The 20,766-nt window shown below is 35.6% G+C and overlaps 1 protein-coding gene across 12 annotated transcripts in view, besides 1 other annotated feature; it reads left to right on the top strand.

Moving 5' to 3' along the window:
* Window positions 1-20,766, top strand: part of MAGI2 (membrane associated guanylate kinase, WW and PDZ domain containing 2) — a 1,436,613-nt gene that overhangs the window by 647,972 nt on the left and 767,875 nt on the right. The gene's annotated exons all lie outside the window — the stretch shown is intronic.
* Window positions 17,056-18,255: an enhancer, noted in NCBI's record as "MED14-independent group 3 enhancer chr7:78416757-78417956 (GRCh37/hg19 assembly coordinates)". NCBI's record gives its function as "activates an origin of replication core promoter dependent on BRD2, BRD4, P300/CBP and CDK7 cofactors, and independent of MED14, by STARR-seq in HCT116 cells {active_cell/tissue: HCT116}" and the evidence as "EXISTENCE:reporter gene assay evidence [ECO:0000049][PMID:35650434]".

Raw genomic sequence — 20,766 nt, 5'->3', positions numbered from 1 at the left:
GAGAAAGCAAGGTGAAAGTTACAGATACTATCATTTCCACGGTATCCTTTTGGTTTACAGGTCAGCTATATGCAGTGTGCAAATGAACTATACAAGGGCGTGAATACTAGCAGGTAGGGATCATTGGGGCCATTTGGAGGCTGTCTAGTGCATCTATTGTGATTTTTTTAAACATAAGTTTTAGCTAAACTTTAACTTATAGACAGTTCTGCCTCTTCTACTGTATTTCTTATCATTCTACCCACTTTCTTCCTCTTCAGCACTTTCCCTTCTCTCCTACCTCATATCTTTTATTGAGGTATATTTAAAAATCAGGAAGGGTAGAGAACAAAGAGGAAAGAACATGATTAAATGAGCACCCATAAGTGATAATAAGAAATATTAGTCCTATGTTCCATTAAATAATCTGTCAATTGTTTTGTGGGTTTTTTTTTTTTTTACTCTTCCTTCAAAAAGTACAAGGTGAAACTAATTAGTAAATGCATTTAATACAAAATATCTATTGTCAAAACTTTGACAGCATCTCTATCCCCCTGCCTAGATATTTAGAGTCGTAGCTCCATGGAATGAGGTGATATGTCAATTTTTTAGAGGTTATTTTTATTTTTTTTTATTTTTTTATTTTTTTTTGAGACAGAGTCTTGCTGTCGCCCAGGCTGGAGTGCAATGATGTGATCTTGGCTCGCTGCAACCTCCACCTCCTGGGTTCAAGTGATTCTCCTGCCTCAGCCTCCCAAGTTGCTGGGATTATAGGTGCCCACACCCGCACCCAGCTAATTTTTGTATTTTTAGTAGAGACGGGGTTTTGCCATGTTGGCCAGACTGGTTTCGAACTCCTGGTCTTAGGTGATCCACCCGCCTCGGCTTCCCAAAGTGCTGGGATTACAGGCAGGAGCCACCGTGCCCAGCCAAAGGGCCAAAGGTTTTTTTTTTTTTTTTTTTTTTTTGAGACAGAGTCTCGCTCTGTTGCCCAGGCTAGAGTGCAGTGGCGCCATCTCGGCTCACTGCAAGCTCCGCCTCCTGGGTTCACACCATTCTCCTGCCTCAGCCTCCCGAGTAGCTGGGACTACAGGCGCCCGCCACCATGCCCGGCTAATTTTTTTGTATTTTTAGTAGAGACGGGGTTTCACCGTGTTAGCCAGGAGGGTCTCGATTTCCTGACGTCATGATCCGCCTGCCTCGGCCTCCCAAAGTGCTGGGATTACAGGCGTGAGCCACCGTGCCTGGCCCAAAGTTTTTTTTTTTTTTAGTTTAGTTTAGTTTTATTTTGTTTATTAATATTCCAGTTTACCTGTGTCTTCTATAAATACAGTTAGAAATAATTCTCCGTATTTTTATAGTACCAATGAAAAGTAAGATATTTGTACTTTTCCCCCTTATTCTTGACACCGTTAATGTGTTTCTATATTGCAAGACGGTAGCTTGTCCCCACTTATACTACTATGCCAAAGGGAACAAGAAAGCCGAAGCCTTTTTTCCAATCAGAAGCCATTTCCAGTCACTGACTCAGACTGCACTGAAAATATTGGAAAACGTAGTACTTGTCTGTGTGTATCTGTTCATCTAAATAATGGATTTAATACTTTGCTGTGGTAAAAATCAATTAGTTATTATTAGAAAGGGTTCTGAATGCAGTGAGAAATGCAATATAAATATGAAATAGTAGTTCCCAAGTTTAGCATATGCAAGAGCATAATTTATACAATTTCAGTTCAATCTGTAATGTGAAATTGGTAACAGGACATGACATAACTGAAGCTTGATTTAAGCATGGCTTTCTTATTCCGTGTCCCAGCTATCACAATTTTAATACTAAATGGTTTGTCATTTTGTATTAAGTAGACTTTCTTTCTCGATGACAAACTTGAAGAATAGTCTAGAGTTTTATAAGTATCTGCAAATATTATGTAAATTTTTAGTCACACATAAAGTAGCAATTTTCTTTTTCACTTGGGTTGAATTTACTTTTAAGTATATGAGTCATATACATAAATATAAGCCATAAATATTATTCAACACACGCGTCAGCATTTCCTTTTTCCCCCTTTTCTGATGTTTCATTAGTGACATTTTTCAAATCAAATTTAAATAATCCTTGGTTCAGACTCCAAACAGGAAATCAGTTCAAGGAGCAGGGATCAGAATGACAAAAGAACTGCTCACTTAGAGGATACCTTAAAATACTCTGCTCATTGCAAAAAAAAAAAATAAATAAATGTAAGCTTCCAGATTTTTCTGACCTTAATGCACTGATGTTTCGGTTTGGATTTAACTGTGAATGAAAAACTTTGAAAAGCCATATAATCCATCAATATTATATTTGCTAGCACCTGAGTTTCATACAACATCAAAGTATTTTTATGGCTTTGATATTTTTTTCTTCCGTAATTATGCCAGCCCAAGATATATTGCATTTAATACTCTTTTCCTGACTTGCTCTTATTAGCAGTTAACACTTTATGTAGAACATATGTAGAATTCCTGACATCTGTTATTGCAACCTTGTTTTGACTGATAATATACTAGTGTTTAATTTAGGACAAAAGGAGAACATATTTTCAAATCGCACATGTAAATTGAAGATTATCTGTCCTGTGTAACTATATATATTATGATATGCAAATACGTGCATGTGTATAAAAATGGACACTTCATGGTCATTAATATTAAAAGTCAAAACCAAAATATTGATTTACAAGAAAGCTAAATTGAAAAAAACTCCAAGGCATCTAGTATCACAGCTGTCAGAGGTCTCTTTTTTTTTTTTAATAGATTTTATTGTTTTTAGAGCAGTTTTAGGTTCACTGCAAAATTGAGCAGAAGGTATGGAGATATCTCATATGCCTCCTATCTCCACATATGCATAGCCTTCCTCACTATCAACATCCCACAACACATTTGTTACAATTGATGAACCTACAAGACACCCAGGTCCATACTTTACATGAGATTGCACTTTTAATACTGTACATTCAATTCTGTAGTTCATATTAGCGTTCATTCTTGGTGTTGTACATTCTACAGGATGTCATTCATGGTCAGGTAAATTCATATTTTAATGTCATGAATCTACCATTATATAGTAGTACTATACTGAGTAGTTTCACTGCCCTAAAAGTCCTCCGTGCTCCACTCCTGTGTTTCCCTTAGTTTAGCTGGGACTTTCCCACATGAATCCACACAGTTTTATCCAGTAAAGTGCGTGATGAGAGGTCTTGGGGCTTAAAAGGTCTTTTTAAAATGTAAATTGGGACATTTCACTGAACTGTTAAAAAGCCAGATACATGGCTTCTATTTGCACTTAGAACAAAATACAAACCCTTAAACTTTGCACATAAAAAACCTAAATGGCATGGCTCTTGCCCTCAAGGAGATTACAGTTAAATTTAGAATACAGGCATTAAAAAAACACTCATGAATGTACAGTTATAAATTGTGTTCAGTGGGATAAAGGAGAATGAAGAAGGACTATGAAAAAGGTTAACTTAAGGAATTTAAGTTAGACTGGTGGATCAAGGAAAATCTATTTGAAGAAGTGATATTTAGGTTAAGATCGTAGGTACGGAGGCCTGGAGAAGAGTACAGAAAAGAGCGTTCCAGAGGAGGAAGCATTTGTGTAAGAGCCTGAGAAAGGAAAGCCCTTGATCTGGAAGAACAGAAAACTCTTGATAATGGATTATTCAGAATGAATGACATAATGTAGTAAAATGACATTATATTAGTTGCAGATATTCTCTGCTCACCTCAGTGTTTCCTCGGTGCATTTCATAGTATTTGGTGTATGTTAGATGACCATTAAACATTTAATGAATGAACAAGTTTAATGGTAACAATAGATAAAGGAGGAGAAGGGATAATAGTAGCATCTATCTTATAAGATGGTGAGTAATAAATGAGATCACTCATAATAGCTGCTGATCTCAGAGCCTGACACACAGAAAGTGCTTGATATATGGTAACTTAAAAAAATTGAAGTCCCTGCTTTACACTTGAATTATTCTAAATGACTTACATGAAATGTTGGAAGGCAAACTAATTTTACAATTTTTAAGTGAAATAATCCCTGTGCACTACCAAAAAAAACCCTTTTTATTATTTGGGTTTCATGCTATTAATGTATTTTCCTCTGTGGTTCCTACATGGTTTGCAGAGGTAACACTCCTTTCCTTTCATATACAGACACACATACTTTTGGATGGTTGGTAGACAGTACATTATCAATAATGGTTTTGGGATAGACAATGGACTCAAACCTTGTGCCTCATTTCTGTATATCAAAACATGTCAAAGCCCCAGTTATAAACCTAGTTTTAAGCACAATTCTGAAGCTCTCCCAGATCATTCATCTTGGCTGTGCTCTGGAAGACCAAATCTAACAGTGCTGATATGCAGACATGAAGTACTTGCTTTCTGATTATTGAAGTAAGGGTCTGTATTCAAATCAGGCAATTTGCAGTTTCCTTGTTTCTAAATAAACCTATGAAGTTTCCTGTTGCTGAGGAAAAAATTTCTTTTGAATTATCCTGTCTTTAAATCTCTTGCCAAATGTTAAGCAAACTACTCAGAAACACATATTCATTTTTCTTAACCAGCAATACAATGCATTGCCCAAATATGATCAAACATCCTCAAACTTTGTCAATCACTTAAATTATTAAACAATAAAACATTAAACTCTGTAGCTAAAATAAAAATATATTCCCTGGTTTCTATGAAATTACGTTCTCATAGGTCATTTTTATATTCTTATTTCTTTAAATATGGCTGTTAATTTCATCCCTTCAACTAGAGGTTGCCATTCATGGTCAGGTAAGTTCAATTTCCTCTATTGTTTCACTTGGAACCTGAAACCCCATTCAAGCATCTTACAAATTCCTGCCATTGATCACAAAAACTGAGCAAGGAAATATGGATGACTAAGTGTGAATTCATTACTCTTATTAAGAAAATGACATAAAGTCCTACTGAGCAAGACACAATAGAATCATTTTCAAGTATTAGCCACAGAGTGGTGTCATTATAACATCACTTTCACATGTAAATATAAAATGAAAGTTTAATGTTAAAAATAAGAAAAAATGTAAATGTATAATAGACCAAAAATTGTTCTATTTTTGTCCTTGGGGCAGTGATGTTAAATCATCTCATATCTATGAGACATTGCTAGTTATAAGGAATATTCATGTTCTCCTTTTCTTCTTAGGCACATAGCAGTCAGTTCTGAATAATTGATTGTGAGCTGAAATAGTCATTTTTAGGCCTCTTCCATTAAGCCTCCATCTGAATACAGAGGATAACAAAGGCTTAGAGGAGAAGGGAGCCACAATATGGAAGGCCTGGATCCCTGAATGACTATGTGGATCACAATTCATCCTCCCCACTCCTACATCACCCCTCATGCCTACCCACATTGAATTGTCAGTAAAAATAAGCTTTGTTTGCCCAATACCACAGATATTTTAGGGTTGTTTGTTATAAAAGTTAGTCTACCTGGACCAATTCAATAACTGATTATATAACCCTGGTATTACTGAGTTTAATTGGAATCTATGGATATTAAAGCTTCTGGTCCGTGGGTTTTTGGAAACTAAATAGTGGTAAAACTTCCAAATTATTTACTATAGAAAGATGAATCATACCACAGAGCTGCTAGGGGCAAGTTTAATCAAATTGCCTATAAAGTGTTAAAATATCCATTTTGTGTAATGGAAGATCTATTTTAAGGTGTTCTAAATGGTAAAATAAAATCTTTCTGCCCAAAAGAAATGCTGCTTTCCATCACTATAGCTGACGTTTTGTAGCACATATTCCACAAAGATGGTAATACTTTAAAAATGTTCTATGGAAAAAAGGTGATCCCACAGGGAGCTGGTAATTGGCAGAAAAATCTCAAAATACTCAGGTAAGAAAGGCAGAGAGCTACAGCACTGCACAGCTTCAACCAAGAACTTGAAAAATACAGAAGTAAAGCACTTCTGAGGAATTAAGACTTACTACTTTAAAACTGAATTTGAAGGAAGAACAAAAGCAAATATTGGTGCCTTGACATAAGAAGCAAACTTATTTCCTCAAATTATACCTCATAGAAAAAGAGTAATGCAGCTCACACAGAAGAGGGTCCCAAGTGGAACAAATCTATATCCTTGGCCACATGGATTAAAGGTTTTCACCACTTCCTTAGAAAGGAGGAAATAGAGGTTGATAACGAAACCCATTGGATTTCCTTACATGTGTACACAATGGTGTAGAAAATATTCTCATTAATAAGTACGGCTTCAGTTATTTTCAGTAAATCATTTTGACATTCATGTTATCTCCTGAATTCAGGACTCTCCCCTGCTTCTATTATTAGAGTTTACATTTGGTGCTCATAAAGGCCAAACCAGGTAATGCTTACAGAATTTTGTGTTTGCAATGCTTACTTCTGCCAGTGTACAGAATAGTCATATACAGCCCCTTGTATGCTATCAACACCAAGCATATCTCAATAGTTGTCCGCTGCCTATTTCATGAAAACTGTAGTATATCAGGCACATGTTCAGCAAATCGTTAGCAAGACATAAAAGGGACACCAGCAAAGACAGATGATGACCTGTCCTGACCAAAGAAAGAATAAATTTTAAAAGTCACTGCAGTTATTAACCCTCAACAATCTCATAGCCCCAAAACTGAGCAATATGGCAGTCATCAATGAAACATAGAAATTCCTGTTGTAATAGCATCATTTATGTCTTTTCTTTCTTGATCTTCTTGCAAGGTAGTAACCATGAGGAGACATCGGATGTTTGGCAAAGGCCTTTGGAATTCACCTGCTAGGCCATGATATACATTTCCAGCCTGAGGATTTTGTACAAACTGTATATTAGATTTGCCTTAGTTAGAATACAAATGAGCAACTTGAGCTCAGCATGGAAGTTTGCAGAGCTCTCTACTTGCACATTTTACTGGGTATAGCTCAGAGAGAAAATTATTGTTTAATAGCTGTGGTCCATAAATGTCAAAGAAAGGAATGGGCCGTTCTCCATTGGGAAATGACCACAGGACTGTGGCCTCTCATTCAGTATTCATCCTGAAGCCTAAAGATTGAAGCCCGGTTCCCAAAGACCAATCTCAAAGAGAAGAATGAGGAAAAGAAACAAAATAAATAAAAGAACAAGGAGCAGCAGGACCATGTAGCCCATCAGGCCCATTCCAGCCCACACCTTCCTAAGGAGAGACCATGGGTGCAGGCATGACCAATGAATTTATTTACCAAGAAATGAATATCTGACAAACCAACCCATTTCATTTTCTGTTTGGCTTAATTTTGTGGTTGCCAACATGATAAGAATAACTTATATCACTGAATTTTTTTCATCTGAGATAATTCATTGACTGAATTGACTAGTCATTTGTAATGCAGGCTTGATACAAAATTGGATAATTGAACCCCTCTTCAGAGCAATTTCTCCTGTAAGATGAACTAATGATCATAGAAATACATAGTTTTCACAACTATTAATTGGTTTATTGCCAATCCAGAATGCAGCCTGCGTAAATACTACATCTAAGCAATTCTCAAAGGTAAAGAATGAAGTTTTTCTCCTGGTCCTTTGTTCTGTATTTCAAAAACAACCTGTTACATATTTTTGTTCATTTGTATCTCCTTTCCACTTACCTAGAGAAAACTGAACAGAAATAATAAAACAAGCACTTTGTATTTTGTGCCATTGTGTGACCCTGTTCCTTTGCAAAGTATGTTTCTAGATCCCTCTGGAATTAGAATGGACATTATTAATGTGACAGGTTTCATTGCCATGCACCCATGCACCCTATTATTTGAACTGCTCTTGGGCACTCTTTCCCTTTGGGCAAGACTAGACCAGCTCTCTAAGGGTTCTAGTTTTGCCTGACCACTCTCCCCTTACCCCTAGCGTGAATATATAATCCATTGGGCTTGGCAGTTGTCTCCTTAGAACTTTGAAATTGTTTGAATAAAACCTATACCTGATGTATAGCAAAGATATAACCATAAAACTTTTGAACATTAAAAACCTTTTCCTGTGTTTTGGTACTAAATACTCACTGATTTACATTTGTATGTGATTAACATATCTGAAGTTTTCTATTTCTATTATGAAAAGCAAACATTACTGACATAATGTTCCAATTACTCTTCTTAAAATTCATTCACATAATAAAGAAACACTGGATGTTGCAGAAATAAAAAGCTCCATTCTCTGCTTCTACACCTGAGATTAATACATCACAGTTTTTGAAGCTGAATTCCCCAGTTTCCTATTGATCTACTTATGGAATTTAGGGTTTCTAGAGCTCACACATAATATATTAAAAGAAAAAAGAATAATTAAGTTGATCATTGTCTAGGATAGGTTGCTTTTTATTGCTGTATGATATACATAAATCTTTTTTAATTTTATATTTTTATTGATATAGTTTTATATATTGTGGGGGTACATATGATATTTTGATACATGTCTACGATATTGAATGATCAAATCAGGGTAATTGGCATATCCATCATCTCAAACATGTATCTTTTCTTTGTGTTGGGAACATTACAATTCTTCTCTTCTAGCTATTTTGAAATATTCAGTAAATCATTGTTAATTATAATTTTCCTGCTGTAGTATCGAATACTAGAACTTATTCCTTCTATCTAACTGTATTTTTGTACCCATGAACCAACTTCTCTTCATTCTTCACTCACACCTTCCCTTTTTAGCCTGTGATAATAACCATTCTACTCTCTACCTCTGTGAAATCCACTTTTGTAGCTCCCACATAAGAGTGAGAACATGCAATATTTGTCTTTCTGTGCCTGGCTAATTTTACTTAAACACAGTGACTTCCAGTTATATCCATGTTGCTTCAAATGACAGGATTTCATTCTTTTTTATGGCTGAGTAATATTCCATTATGTATATATACCACATTTTATCCATTCATTTGTTGATAGACACTTAGATTGACTCCATATCTTGGCTATTGTGAACAGTGCTGCAATAAACATGGGAGTGCAGATTCCTTTTTGATATACTGATTACCTTTCTTTTGAATATATATACACAGCAGTGCAATTGCTGGATCATATGCTATTTTAAAGTTTTGAGGAACCTCCATACCGTTTTCGATAATGACTGCACTACATTACATTCCCACCAACAGTGTATGAGCATCCTCCTTTCTCTACATCCTCACCAACATTGGCTATTTTTTGTCTTTTTTGGTAATAGCCATTTTAACTGGAGTGAGATGATATCCCATTGTGGTTTTGATTTGTGTTTACCTGATGATTAGTGATGTTGAACTTTTATTCATATACCTGTTGGCCATTTGTATGTCTCTTTTGAGAAATGTCTATTCAGGTCTTTTGATCATTTTTTAATCAGATTATTTGCTTTTTTACTACTGAGTTGTTTGAGTTCCTTATATATTCATGTTACTAATCCCTTGTTAGATGCATACTTTGCAAATATTTTCTCCCATTCTGTAGGTTATCTCTTCACTTTGTTAATTATTTCCTTTGCTGTGTAAAAGCTTTTTAGCCTGAAGTATTCCCATTTGTCTCTTTTTGCTTCTGTTGTCCATGCTTTTGAGGTCTCACCCCAAAAATTTTTCCCCAGACCAATGACCTGTAGCATTTCCACAGTGTTTTCTTCTAGTAATTTCATAGTTTCAGGTCTCACATTTAAGTGTGTATTTCATTTGCAGTTGATTTTTGTACGTGGTGAAAGATGGGATCTAGTTTCATTCTGTATATGGTTATCCAGTTTACCTGGCACCATTTATTTAAACAGTCTGTCCTTTTCCTATTGTATGTTCTTGGCACCTTTGTCAAAGATGAGTTGGCTGTGTGTGGATTTGTTTCTGTGTTCTCTATTCTGTTCCATTGGTCTATATGTCTGTTTTTATGCCGGTACCATGCCGCTTTGGTTATTATAGCTTTATTACATAATTTGAAATCAGGTAATGTGATGCCTCCAGATGCTCAGAATTCCTTTGCCTATTTGGAGCCTTTTGTGATTCCGTACGAATTTTAGGATTTTTTTTATATTTCTGTGAAGAATGTCATTGGTATTTTGATAGAAATTTTAATAATATTATTTCAATCCATGAGCATGGAATATCTTTCCACTTTTTTGTGTGTCCTCTCGACTTCTTTTATCAATGTTTTAATAATTTTCCTTGTAGAGATGTGTCACTTCTCAAGTTTATTCCTAGTTTTTTGTAGTTACTATAAATGGAATTACTTTCTTGATTTCTTCTGCAGATTGATCATTGTTAGTGTATAGAAATGCCACTGGTTCTCGTATGTTGATTTTATATCCTGTAACTTTACTAAACTTATCTTTGGGTGATGTTTTTAATTTTTTCTAAATAAAAAATTTTGCATAAGATCTGAATATAAGATTGTTACATTGTATTATCTTAAATATAAGATCAAATAAACATATATAAGATCATTATAATAATCAAATAATCATATGATCAAATAATCTCATATATAAGATCATTATAATAATCTTATATTTATATTTGCAATATAAGATCATTGCAAACAATAATAATTTGAAATCTCCCTTTCCAATTTGAATGCTCTTTATTTCTTTCTCTTTTCAATTGCTCTGAGTAGGACTTCTAGTACTATGTTGAATAAAAGTGGAGATAGTGGCCTGGCATGGTGGCACATGCCTGTAATCTCAGCTGCTCTGTGATAGAAGAATCGCTTGAGCCCAAGAGTTCAAGGTCAGCCTGGCAAACATAGTGAGACCTCGTCTGTAAAATCAATTTTTTTTTCATTAGGAATAAATAGTGAAAATAGGATGCATCTTTCCTTCAATTTGCCCCTGATCTTGGTTATGCGTGTAGCCAACATAAGTTAACTCCTCATTTCCAATAGTTTCAGTGTTCATAATTGGAATTTCATTTCCAGAAAACTTATTTTATTCCATAAAACACTCCAATTGATCAGTAGAGAAAATAAGATACAAATATATGATGTTTATAATTTTCAAGTGTATAAAATCAAATTTTCGTGAAAAACAACATTTAAATATTCCTTTAGAATTTGGATTGTTTTTTTTTTTTTCTTTTGCATGAACAGGACAAGTAAAGGCTTCTCAAAATAAAATCAGTAAAATCTAAGCTGAAGAAACCATCTCTTTACCTGGTAAATCTTCCTATGGCAAACAGGCATTTTTCATTTACCAAAGACATTTGAACTGCTTCCAAAATTTATGTTATCTGTCTCAAAAATTTCCATTGACAATTTTATAACCACACAAGTCTGTGAATGGTAAATTATGTGGAGAAGGGCAGTTGCCATCGTAATTCCTCTTTCTTAAGCATCTCTTGCTCCCCCATTTCAGTTAGAGTTTCATTGCTCAGCTCCTGGGAATTCATGGGATTCTTAGAATGCAACTACCAACAAACTCAGCTGAGCCCGCATCTCAGGATTAACCAGGCAGTGCTGTCACTGGAACAGCAAAGTGTGTGAGTTCTCACTGGTCCCAGTTCTTAGTCAGTTGTAATTTTAAGTTATTATTATTACCAAAGGGATAAAAAGGATATAAGTGTGTAACTCACTAGTTATAAACTGGAGGCCACCATAATTTAGACTACTTTATTATCCAGTACTTAGTGATTTTTCAGATGCAAGTACCATCTAGTCACTTTATAGGTCACAATTGTTGTAATAAATTCATCTTTCAAAAAACCCTAATTTAAAACTGCACAGAAGATACAGCATATTTTGTTTAAATACCTACATGAGACAGGAGTCCCCAAGAGATCTTCATGGATTCTATCAATGGATATGAGCACATATTTTCTGAAGCAAGAAGTACATGAGATATACGATCACCAACTAAGCAACTGTACTGTTTCCAGTTTTTGGCTTTACAGACTCTTTGAACTGACCAAATACTAATCAGATATTTTTACTTTTGTTCTGAGAAATATGTTTTATGGTATTCAAATATGATATTAAGAAAATAGATATTATTTCCTTTTTACTAACAAATAGATATTGTATTTTTCTCACATGAGTTTTCTAAATCTATTGAGAAGATCACATTTTTTCTCCTTTGCCCCATCATTATGGTAAGATTATATTAACAGATTTCCAAATATTGAACCATCTATCAGTCAGAGTATCCTAGATGATGCTGTACCAACAAAAATTATTCTATCTCCATGATTGACAGAATTTCTCAGACTTTGCGCTAACATTTTGGATTGGATAACTCTGTTGTGGGAGGCTGTCTGGTGTATTGTCAGATGTTTAGCAGCATTTCTGGCAATTACCCACTAGATGCCATAGGTGCAACCCCTGCGGAAGTTGTAAAAACCAAAAAATGTTTCTAGATATTGCCAAATATTCTTTTGGGAAGGAAAATTGCCTCCAGTCAAGGGCCATTGCTTTAAATCAGTGAGGTTTTGTTTTCCTTCACAGTGCATATCTCTCAAACATCAGTTGGAGTCTCTCCTCTACACCCCTCTCTCTGGGATTCAGGATGATAGAGCTGCCACCATCTAGAGCTTTCCTGGATACAGTGGCAAAGGGAAAAAGAAAGGATGTGCAAATTGCACACCAACTCTTAAAACTGCCTCCCAGAAGTGATGTTTTACTTCCACGCTTATACATTTAGCCAAAACAAATAACATGGGTACCCCTAAATTCAAAGGAAATTGGGAAATGTAGCATGTGCCTGAAAGACATGGAGCCAGTCATATCGGTGTGCTGACGTATTAACATCAAAATATTATTTGAGAATCTGTTTTGAAGTATAAATTCTAACTCAGGCACATTTTCTTAGTAAGAATGTAAACAGCACACTGCATGCCGAGAATGTTCTCATTTAGTCTGCTTTGTTATTCATGCCTACAGACCTACAGGGTGGTTGTATTGGGTTGATGTATTTTTTATTGCTCTTTCACTATATGAATTACTTCTTTTTTTCAGTTAACCACTTACACTTGTGCAATCCACAGTAGAATATCAATATTTGTGGTTTGGGTTATTTAAATAATGTGTGTGAGAAATATAAAAAGCAAATAAACCATAAAATAATAGAAGAAGGAACTCTCAATCTGTACTTATTGGAATGATTTTATACTTGATTATAGGGAGTTCAAATTGACAGGCTGGGTGTGTAGGATATGCTCCTCTCAACACTCTGTAACCATGATCGGCTTCTCACACTTATTTCCAGCCTGAGGTTCCTTGCCTCTTTTATCATCTTTTGATAAATCTCTATAGCGGTGCTATTGTAGTATAGCTCACTTGCTAATAAAAAGTGCGGCTTTAAATAATTATATAAGGTGTTGTTCATATGAGTGGTACAAAATAAAATTGCATTTTCACATTATTTTAAAACTGTAAACTGGAAATATGACGTGGACAACAAACATTTCCTAAGTGTTTATTGTGTAAAGGCTTTACGTGTCTTCCTCCGTGCTGTAACACTATGACAGTTTTATAAATAAATCACTGAAAGTTACACAGCCAGCAGGGATAAAGTCTGCGTTTGAACTTAGGCCAAACTTGTTCAACTCCCCCATGTTTCTTCTCTAATGTCTCTTACTAGGTAATATAGTGAATCTAGGCTTATTCCTAATGACTAATTTTACCATATATAAAGAAATTCAGCCAAAATCTGTCCGTGAAGTGATAAGCACTGTGAAAATTTAGTGTATAGCATCCTATGCATATTTTTAAAAATAAAGATCATTTTCTAAATTCTAAAACATAATTTTATAACTATGTAATTTTCTACTTTGAGGGTTCTCCATAATAATTTGACCTACCCCCTACTGTGTTTGCACATCAAGATTGTTTCTTGACCCGGCACAATGGCTCATGTCTGTAATCCCAGCATTTTGGGAGCCTGACACTGGTGGATCACTTGAGGTCAGGAGTTCGAGACCAGCCTGTCCAATATGGTGAAACCCTGTCTCTACTAAAAACACAAAAATTAGCCAGGCGTGGTGGCGTGTGCCTGTAATCCCAGCTACTCGGGAGGCTGAGGCAGGAGAATCACTTGAACCCTTGATCCCGGGAGGCCGAGGCTGCAGTGAGCCGAGATCATGCCACTGCACTCTAGCCTGGGCAACAGAGCAAGAGTTCATCTCAAAAAAAAAAAAAAAAAAGATTGTTTCTCAGGGTTAGCCATTAAAAGTAATGCTGTAGTGATATCCTCAAATAAACAGTTTTGCCCAACTCTGTTTTCTTAAAATAAACTTCCAGAAGAGAAGATAATCTTTTCATTCGTAATTCTAACTTATCTTACAGAAAAGTTTGCTAAATTATACCATTAATAATAATGCCTGTTTCTCAACTATTTCTCCAATATAAGGGAAAAAAATTATACCTCCTCAAAAAACTTTTCCAATTTCAAAGCAGAAAATGTCATCTTGTTTTGATTTGCATTTCTTTATTAGTTAAGTTAAACTTTTCTCTCTCTCTTTTTCTTTTTGTGGTTATGAGTATTTCTTCAATGTGAGTTACCAGTTTCCTGTTCTTTGCCCATTTTTCTATTACGGAGGACTCCTCTCCAGAGGCCTTTACTATAGCATTCTACTCAAACCTGTTGTTTTTCTCAACATACCATTTTTGCTTTCCAGTATAATAGTTGATTAACATTTAGAAAACCACAGCTGTGTTTTTCTGAGTTTATTTCATTTAATCTTCTTGTTTTATAGACTGTTTGACTGTATTATTTGGAGTCAGACATCTAGGAATTAAATCCAAGCTCAGATACTGTGCTAGCTGTGGGACCTTGGGCAAGTCACTTTATTCCTCAAAGATTAATTTCTTTTTCTGTGAGTATGCATCATAATTTTTACCTATGACACTTACGTACATAGTACCTGGCATAGTAAGTGTATAGTGAGTACTCAGAGTAAGCTTTGTTATTGCTTGTATTGTTATTAATCTTAATATTAAATATGATGACAGGGCCGGGCACGGTGGCTCACACCTCTAATCCCAGCACTTTGGGAGACCCAGGCAGGTGGATCACCTGAGGTCAGGAGTTCTAAACCAGCCTGCTAAACATGGTGAAACCCTGTGTCTACTAAAAATACAAAAATTAGCTGGGCATGGTGGTGGGCGCCTGTAATCCAAGCTATTTGAGAGGCTGAGGCATGAGAATCACTTGAACCTGGGAGGCAGAGTTTGCAGTGAGCCAAGATCCCAACACTGCACTCCAGCCTGGGCAACAAAGGGAGACTCTGTCTCCAAAAACCAAAAAATCTGAACTCCAGGAAGGCAAAGTGATCTAAATTTCAACAGAAATCTTCTTTCACTTTTATGAACCCCTTTTGCTTTGTTAAAGGATGGATTCTAATAAAATTCTAATAAAATAAATAAATAATGGACCTGGTATTTTTTAAAAGAGCAAGGCATCATATCATATCTCAGATATTGCCAAGTAAGACAGCCACTTTCATGCCTATGTGTATGATAGACTCATACATATAATTATGTATAACTATAATATTTTATATTATACCACCTAGCAAAGAGTTTCTAATTTCCTAAAGTGATAATATACATTTGTTTTATTTTATTGGACAAGTGAAAATATTATTTCATGAAAAATATATAATTTATCCTAAATTATCTAACAATCAATTGATCTGTATATTGATCTATCAGTTGATCACTCTATTGCTTTATCTAGGTGTAAACAGAACTTATATGCTTAAGTATATTTTGTTTGCAATTGACAAGCAATTTGGGTGTCCATTTCTGCCTCTCAAATGGAACCTACTTATAACTATTTTCATTTTATTTCAAAATGGATCCTGCATATGACCTCAGTACCCATGTTTTGATATTTGTAAAAGACCACAGGTGGATTTTATATGCTAACTAAAAAGAGCTAGAGATAGAATGAATAAGATGTAGTACGTGATAGCACAACAAGGTGACTACAGTCAATAATAATTTATTGTCCATTTAACAATTACTAAGAGTATAATTGGAATATTTGTAACACTAGGAAATGATAAATACTTGAGGCAATAGATACCACATTTACCTTGATGTCATTATTACACATTGTATGCTTTATCAAAATATCTCATAAATATATATACCTATTATGTATCCATCAAACTTACAAATAAAAATGAATTTTGAAAAATAAAGAAAAAAATAAAAATGAGAAGAGCTGGAAAGAATTACTCTTTAGTCCTAAAAGAATATGCAAAATGTTTGAAGGGTAAGAAATCATCATGGCAGGCAATATCATTCATCGTCTGTGGATTTTACATCTTTGCTGAGAAAGCATGCACCAGTAAGAGGAAATTATTGGCTACTTAGATAATTGAAGTTGAATTTAATGGATTCTGCTATTAACCAAACTTGAAAGATTTCTTGTTTCCCTAAGATGAGCAAAGGATTAATCAAATATATGTTTGTGAGATTGGGTAGCTCAAATAAATGATCCTCATAACCATTTTATCTTGGTTTTTTTAATTCTAAATCTTAGGGAGAGGAGAGAACAGGAACAAAGAGGAGATTTTTGTCCTTCAGTAGCTTACAATGCAATGAATATATTTTTTAAAAATGGAAGCACATAAAATGAATAAAATATGTAAAGTGAACTGTTATTAGTATTAGTAAGGAAACCCACAAAGGGTTGAGAAGAAGAATGTGCAGGGAAATCTACCCTAGACAGGATGCCAGGAGAAAGTGAGAGGAGACCAATGAGATCTGGACAGCGACCCAGGAGAAGGAGCGGGCCTCTCGTAGGGGTACAGAGGCAGACGAGCCACACCTTACATGGTCTCCAGGGAGGAAGGAGTTGTACTTTATGTCAGCTGTAATGGGAAGGTCTTTAAAACTTAAATCATTGGAGTAACATCATATAAAGATGTTTCAAGGAACATCTCAATGATATTCAGACAGTAAGAGGAAATAGGACTTAAACGGAGTTATTAGTGGGAGGTATTCCCTAAGGGAAAAGAGAATCCCTGAATAAAAAAGGGTGAGGTGTAGTACTTTCCTAGTTCAGTTCTAAACTACAGAAATCTAAACTGGATTGCACATCTGTGAGTCATATACGTTAAACTAAATTATACTCAGTGCTTTTTTTTTTTGATAAGCAAAGATAGGTGCCCATAATTCAAATTTTAAAAAAAAATGAAGAGATCCAGAATTAGAGAAAAAGGGCAGTCAAAGGCAAAATGAAGAGAATTTGTGAAATTATCTACATCTGGAAAACCCTAAAGTTAGGATATGAAGGATAAAAAGACCAAATAAAATGGAAATGTTGGATGGAGTAACCTGAAAGCTATGGGAAAGATGAAAATGCATTTTGATTGTTCTCATAAAAGATGGAAAGCTGGGAATCTGGAATAGGTAAGGCTACAAAAATACATCAGTTACAGACAATTCACAGAGTAGAAATTCTTTTTCAGTATATAAAAAAGATTGTCCCACATACATACATTTTTTTATTACTATTTTGCCACTAACTTGGAGAAGGGAAGGGAATATGCAGGTCTTTCCTTTCCCAAAGCACGTGATTGGACCCCAAGAAGCAGAAGTCCATTTGGTGTCACCTAGAACCATTCTAAAATTGATCACTGCTTTGCACAAGCTCATCCAGGATCTGTCAGGGCATGTCTGTGCCTTGGCATCACACACAGTAGAACAGGATTCTGGAGTGAAGAGGAAATTAAGAAGCAGAGAATGAAGAGAAGGGTAGCTGACTATGTTATAATCATTTCTTGAGGAACAAAATAAGACTAAATCAAACTATGGGATTTGTTCTCAGTTTATTTTTAATAATTAAACTTCTATGCTAGAAAATGTCAAAATGAAAAATTAACAAAATCATATGATGAACTCTATATAACCATCACCTGGCTCCATCAAATGTTAAAACTCCGCCATTCTTTCATCTTCTATACTTCTAGGCACTTTCTGATGATTTATTTGTAATGTGAGAGTTTAAAATCTGTTTTTATGCTTACACAAAGCTAATTCTTACTAAGGGAGTATAACTATATAAGTGATATTATTCAGCATTAGCTTTTTGCTGGCTAATATTAACTTGATGGTTTTGGCAGTAACGGGGGTAGAACAGAAAAATACTTTTTTTATCTGGCTTGTATTTCATCCTGGCTAAACTCGAAATTTAAATATTTTGTGTCATTTACAAGAATCCTGAAATAGGAGAGTTTAAAGAACAGGGTTCTAACCCTGTGCTCTTGCTGTCTTTGTGACTTTAACTGCTCTTGTGACTCTATTTTCTCATGTGTACCCTGAGATAACTTAATGAGATACTCCCAAAGCAGATCTTTATTCCCAAGTGGCTTATTCCCTGTTCCAAAAAATGGCCTCCATACTTCTCATCCCCATCCACAGTCCTACCTTCTCCCCAAGACACAGTTCAAGGTTTCCTTTCCATCTTGTAGTTAGAAACAGTTCGAGGCCAGGCGCAATGGCTCACGCCTGTAATCCCAGCACTTTGGGAGGCCAAGGCGGGCAGATCATGAGGTCAGGAGATCGAGACCAGCCTGGCCAACATGGTGAAACCCCCTCTCTACTAAAAATATAAAAATTAGCTGGGCCTGGTGGTGCACACCTGTAATCCCAGCTACTCGGGAGGCTGAGGCAGGAAAATCGCTTAAACCAGAGTCGGAGGTTGCAGTGAGCCGAGATCGCGCCACTACACTCCAGCTTGGCAATAGAGAGAGACTCTGTCTAAAAACAAAAAAAGGAAAGAAAGAAACAATTCAATTCATTTCAACCAATACTTATTGGGGGCAGATTATGTACCAGGCACTGTTTTAGGCACCAAAGATACAGAAGTGAGCGGAAGCAACTCAAATCTCTGCCTCATTAGGCTTCCATTCTAGTGGGGTGGCACACAACAAAAAAGATGAATAATTGAAATACGTAGTAGTAAGCAGTATGTCAGATACTGATAAGCACTAAAGAAAAATAAAGCAGCTTCCTGAGAACTAGAAAGTGTATGTGTGTCAGGAGAGGAGGGAGAAGGTAAAGAACAAGGAAGGTAGCCATAGAGATACCTAAGAGAAGACCGTTCTAGGCAGAGGGCCGTCAAACACAAAGGCCCTATAGTGGGCTCTGCTTGCTGTTTTAGAAGGGCTGTCAGGAAGCCCTTGTGGCCAGAGTCCAGTGAACAAGAGAAAAGGTACTAGTTCAGAGAGGTGGGGGCTTAGAAGTGGCCAGCAAATGTTGAAAGGCCTCATATGTCACTTTTATGACATTGGCTTATATTTTGAATGAAATAGGAACTCTTTGGGATTAAAAAGGACCCATAGGATTGGACTTAGGTTTTAACAGATTCACTAGTCTAGCTAAGAAGGGCAGAAGCAAGGAGAACAGTTAGGGTACTGCTATAATCCATATTACACATGAGAGTAGCTTGGACCCGCCTGCTGGGTGTGGGAGTAGTGAAAAGGGGTTAGATGCTGATCTATTTTGAAGGTACAGCTGGCAGGATTTGCTGCGAGGAGTGAGAGACAGAGAGGAGGCAAGGATGATACTAAGGTTTTTTTGTTTTTTTTTTCTGAGCACTAGAAACATGGAGCTCCTTTTAACAGAGAGGGAAGAATCTATCAGGGGTTGTGGGGGGTGATAATCCTGGTTGATTACCACCTCTAATACACATGCAATCCATAAATGTCCAGTAGACACCTCCTCTCTGTTTCTCTCCCAGCCTGCTTCACTATCTCTCTCCTTCATTCCTCTGTCTCCCTCTGTCTCACATTCATAGTGTGTTCTTGTCTAGTGTATGAAGTCTCACCAAGGAAGTGTCCAGGCAGAGTTTGCGGAGAGTGAAAAAGTGACTGTCCTCATATTTGTCTTTTGGTGTCACACCATATTGGGTGACCCTTCAGCTTTTCTCTAAAATTGCATAACATTTTAAAATCAAAAGAGATCATAAAGAATATCTTGTCCAACTTTTCACTTTATAGATAAGGACACTTAGCTCAAATAAGTTAGATGATACACCTAGAAGACAGGAAAGAGGAGAAATAAATAGTATGGCTTTCTCAAAAGCAAGGAGTAAAGATATAACCGTGAGAGAAGCAATTATGTGAGTAAATGACATAGTTTTAAATCCCAAAAAAGGAAACAAATAACAGAGTTCCAAAATAAAAAAAATGTTACACATATCCCCAGAGCAGAAAAGTGAGTGGCATCAAAGGCAGCACCTCTGACATGATGGCAAAATTGACAATTCATTTTACAAAGCTTTTAACAGCTTTTCAATTCAATACTTTCCTAAATTTGTAAAAATTAAAATAGAATACTTACACAGTTTTGTACTATTGGGCTGTAAAAACCAATAAAAATGGTTTCTAAAATAAAATGATCCAATCTCCATTTTGTTTGCAAATCCTGGCTTGCATAAATCTAATTGACTTTTAAACAAACTGACTTGAAGCAGAACAAAATTAAAAGCATTCCTTGGATGTAGATTTTTCTCCCATTTTAAAATATTTAATTAGTTTCATTTTGTTTGGGTTTTTGAAGTTAAATGATAGCTTCAAATTATGTTATAACAAAGCTCTAGGGTGATAACTTTATTGTTTCGTTTGAATTTTGTTCATTTTGTTTAGTGAACATATAGTTATAAGGACAGGGTAATATAAACATTTATCCCCTAATAACTTCACATATACGCATGAAGAAAGGCCTGTTAATCTTAGCCAGGCACCATGCACGCCTAACAAGAACCTTTAGAATGATGCAAAAAAATAGTTCTAAGCTAT

This window comes from Homo sapiens, chromosome 7 (assembly GCF_000001405.40).
Source record: "Homo sapiens chromosome 7, GRCh38.p14 Primary Assembly".
Taxonomy (NCBI): domain Eukaryota; kingdom Metazoa; phylum Chordata; class Mammalia; order Primates; family Hominidae; genus Homo; species Homo sapiens.
This window is presented reverse-complemented; position numbering and strand designations above follow the sequence as displayed.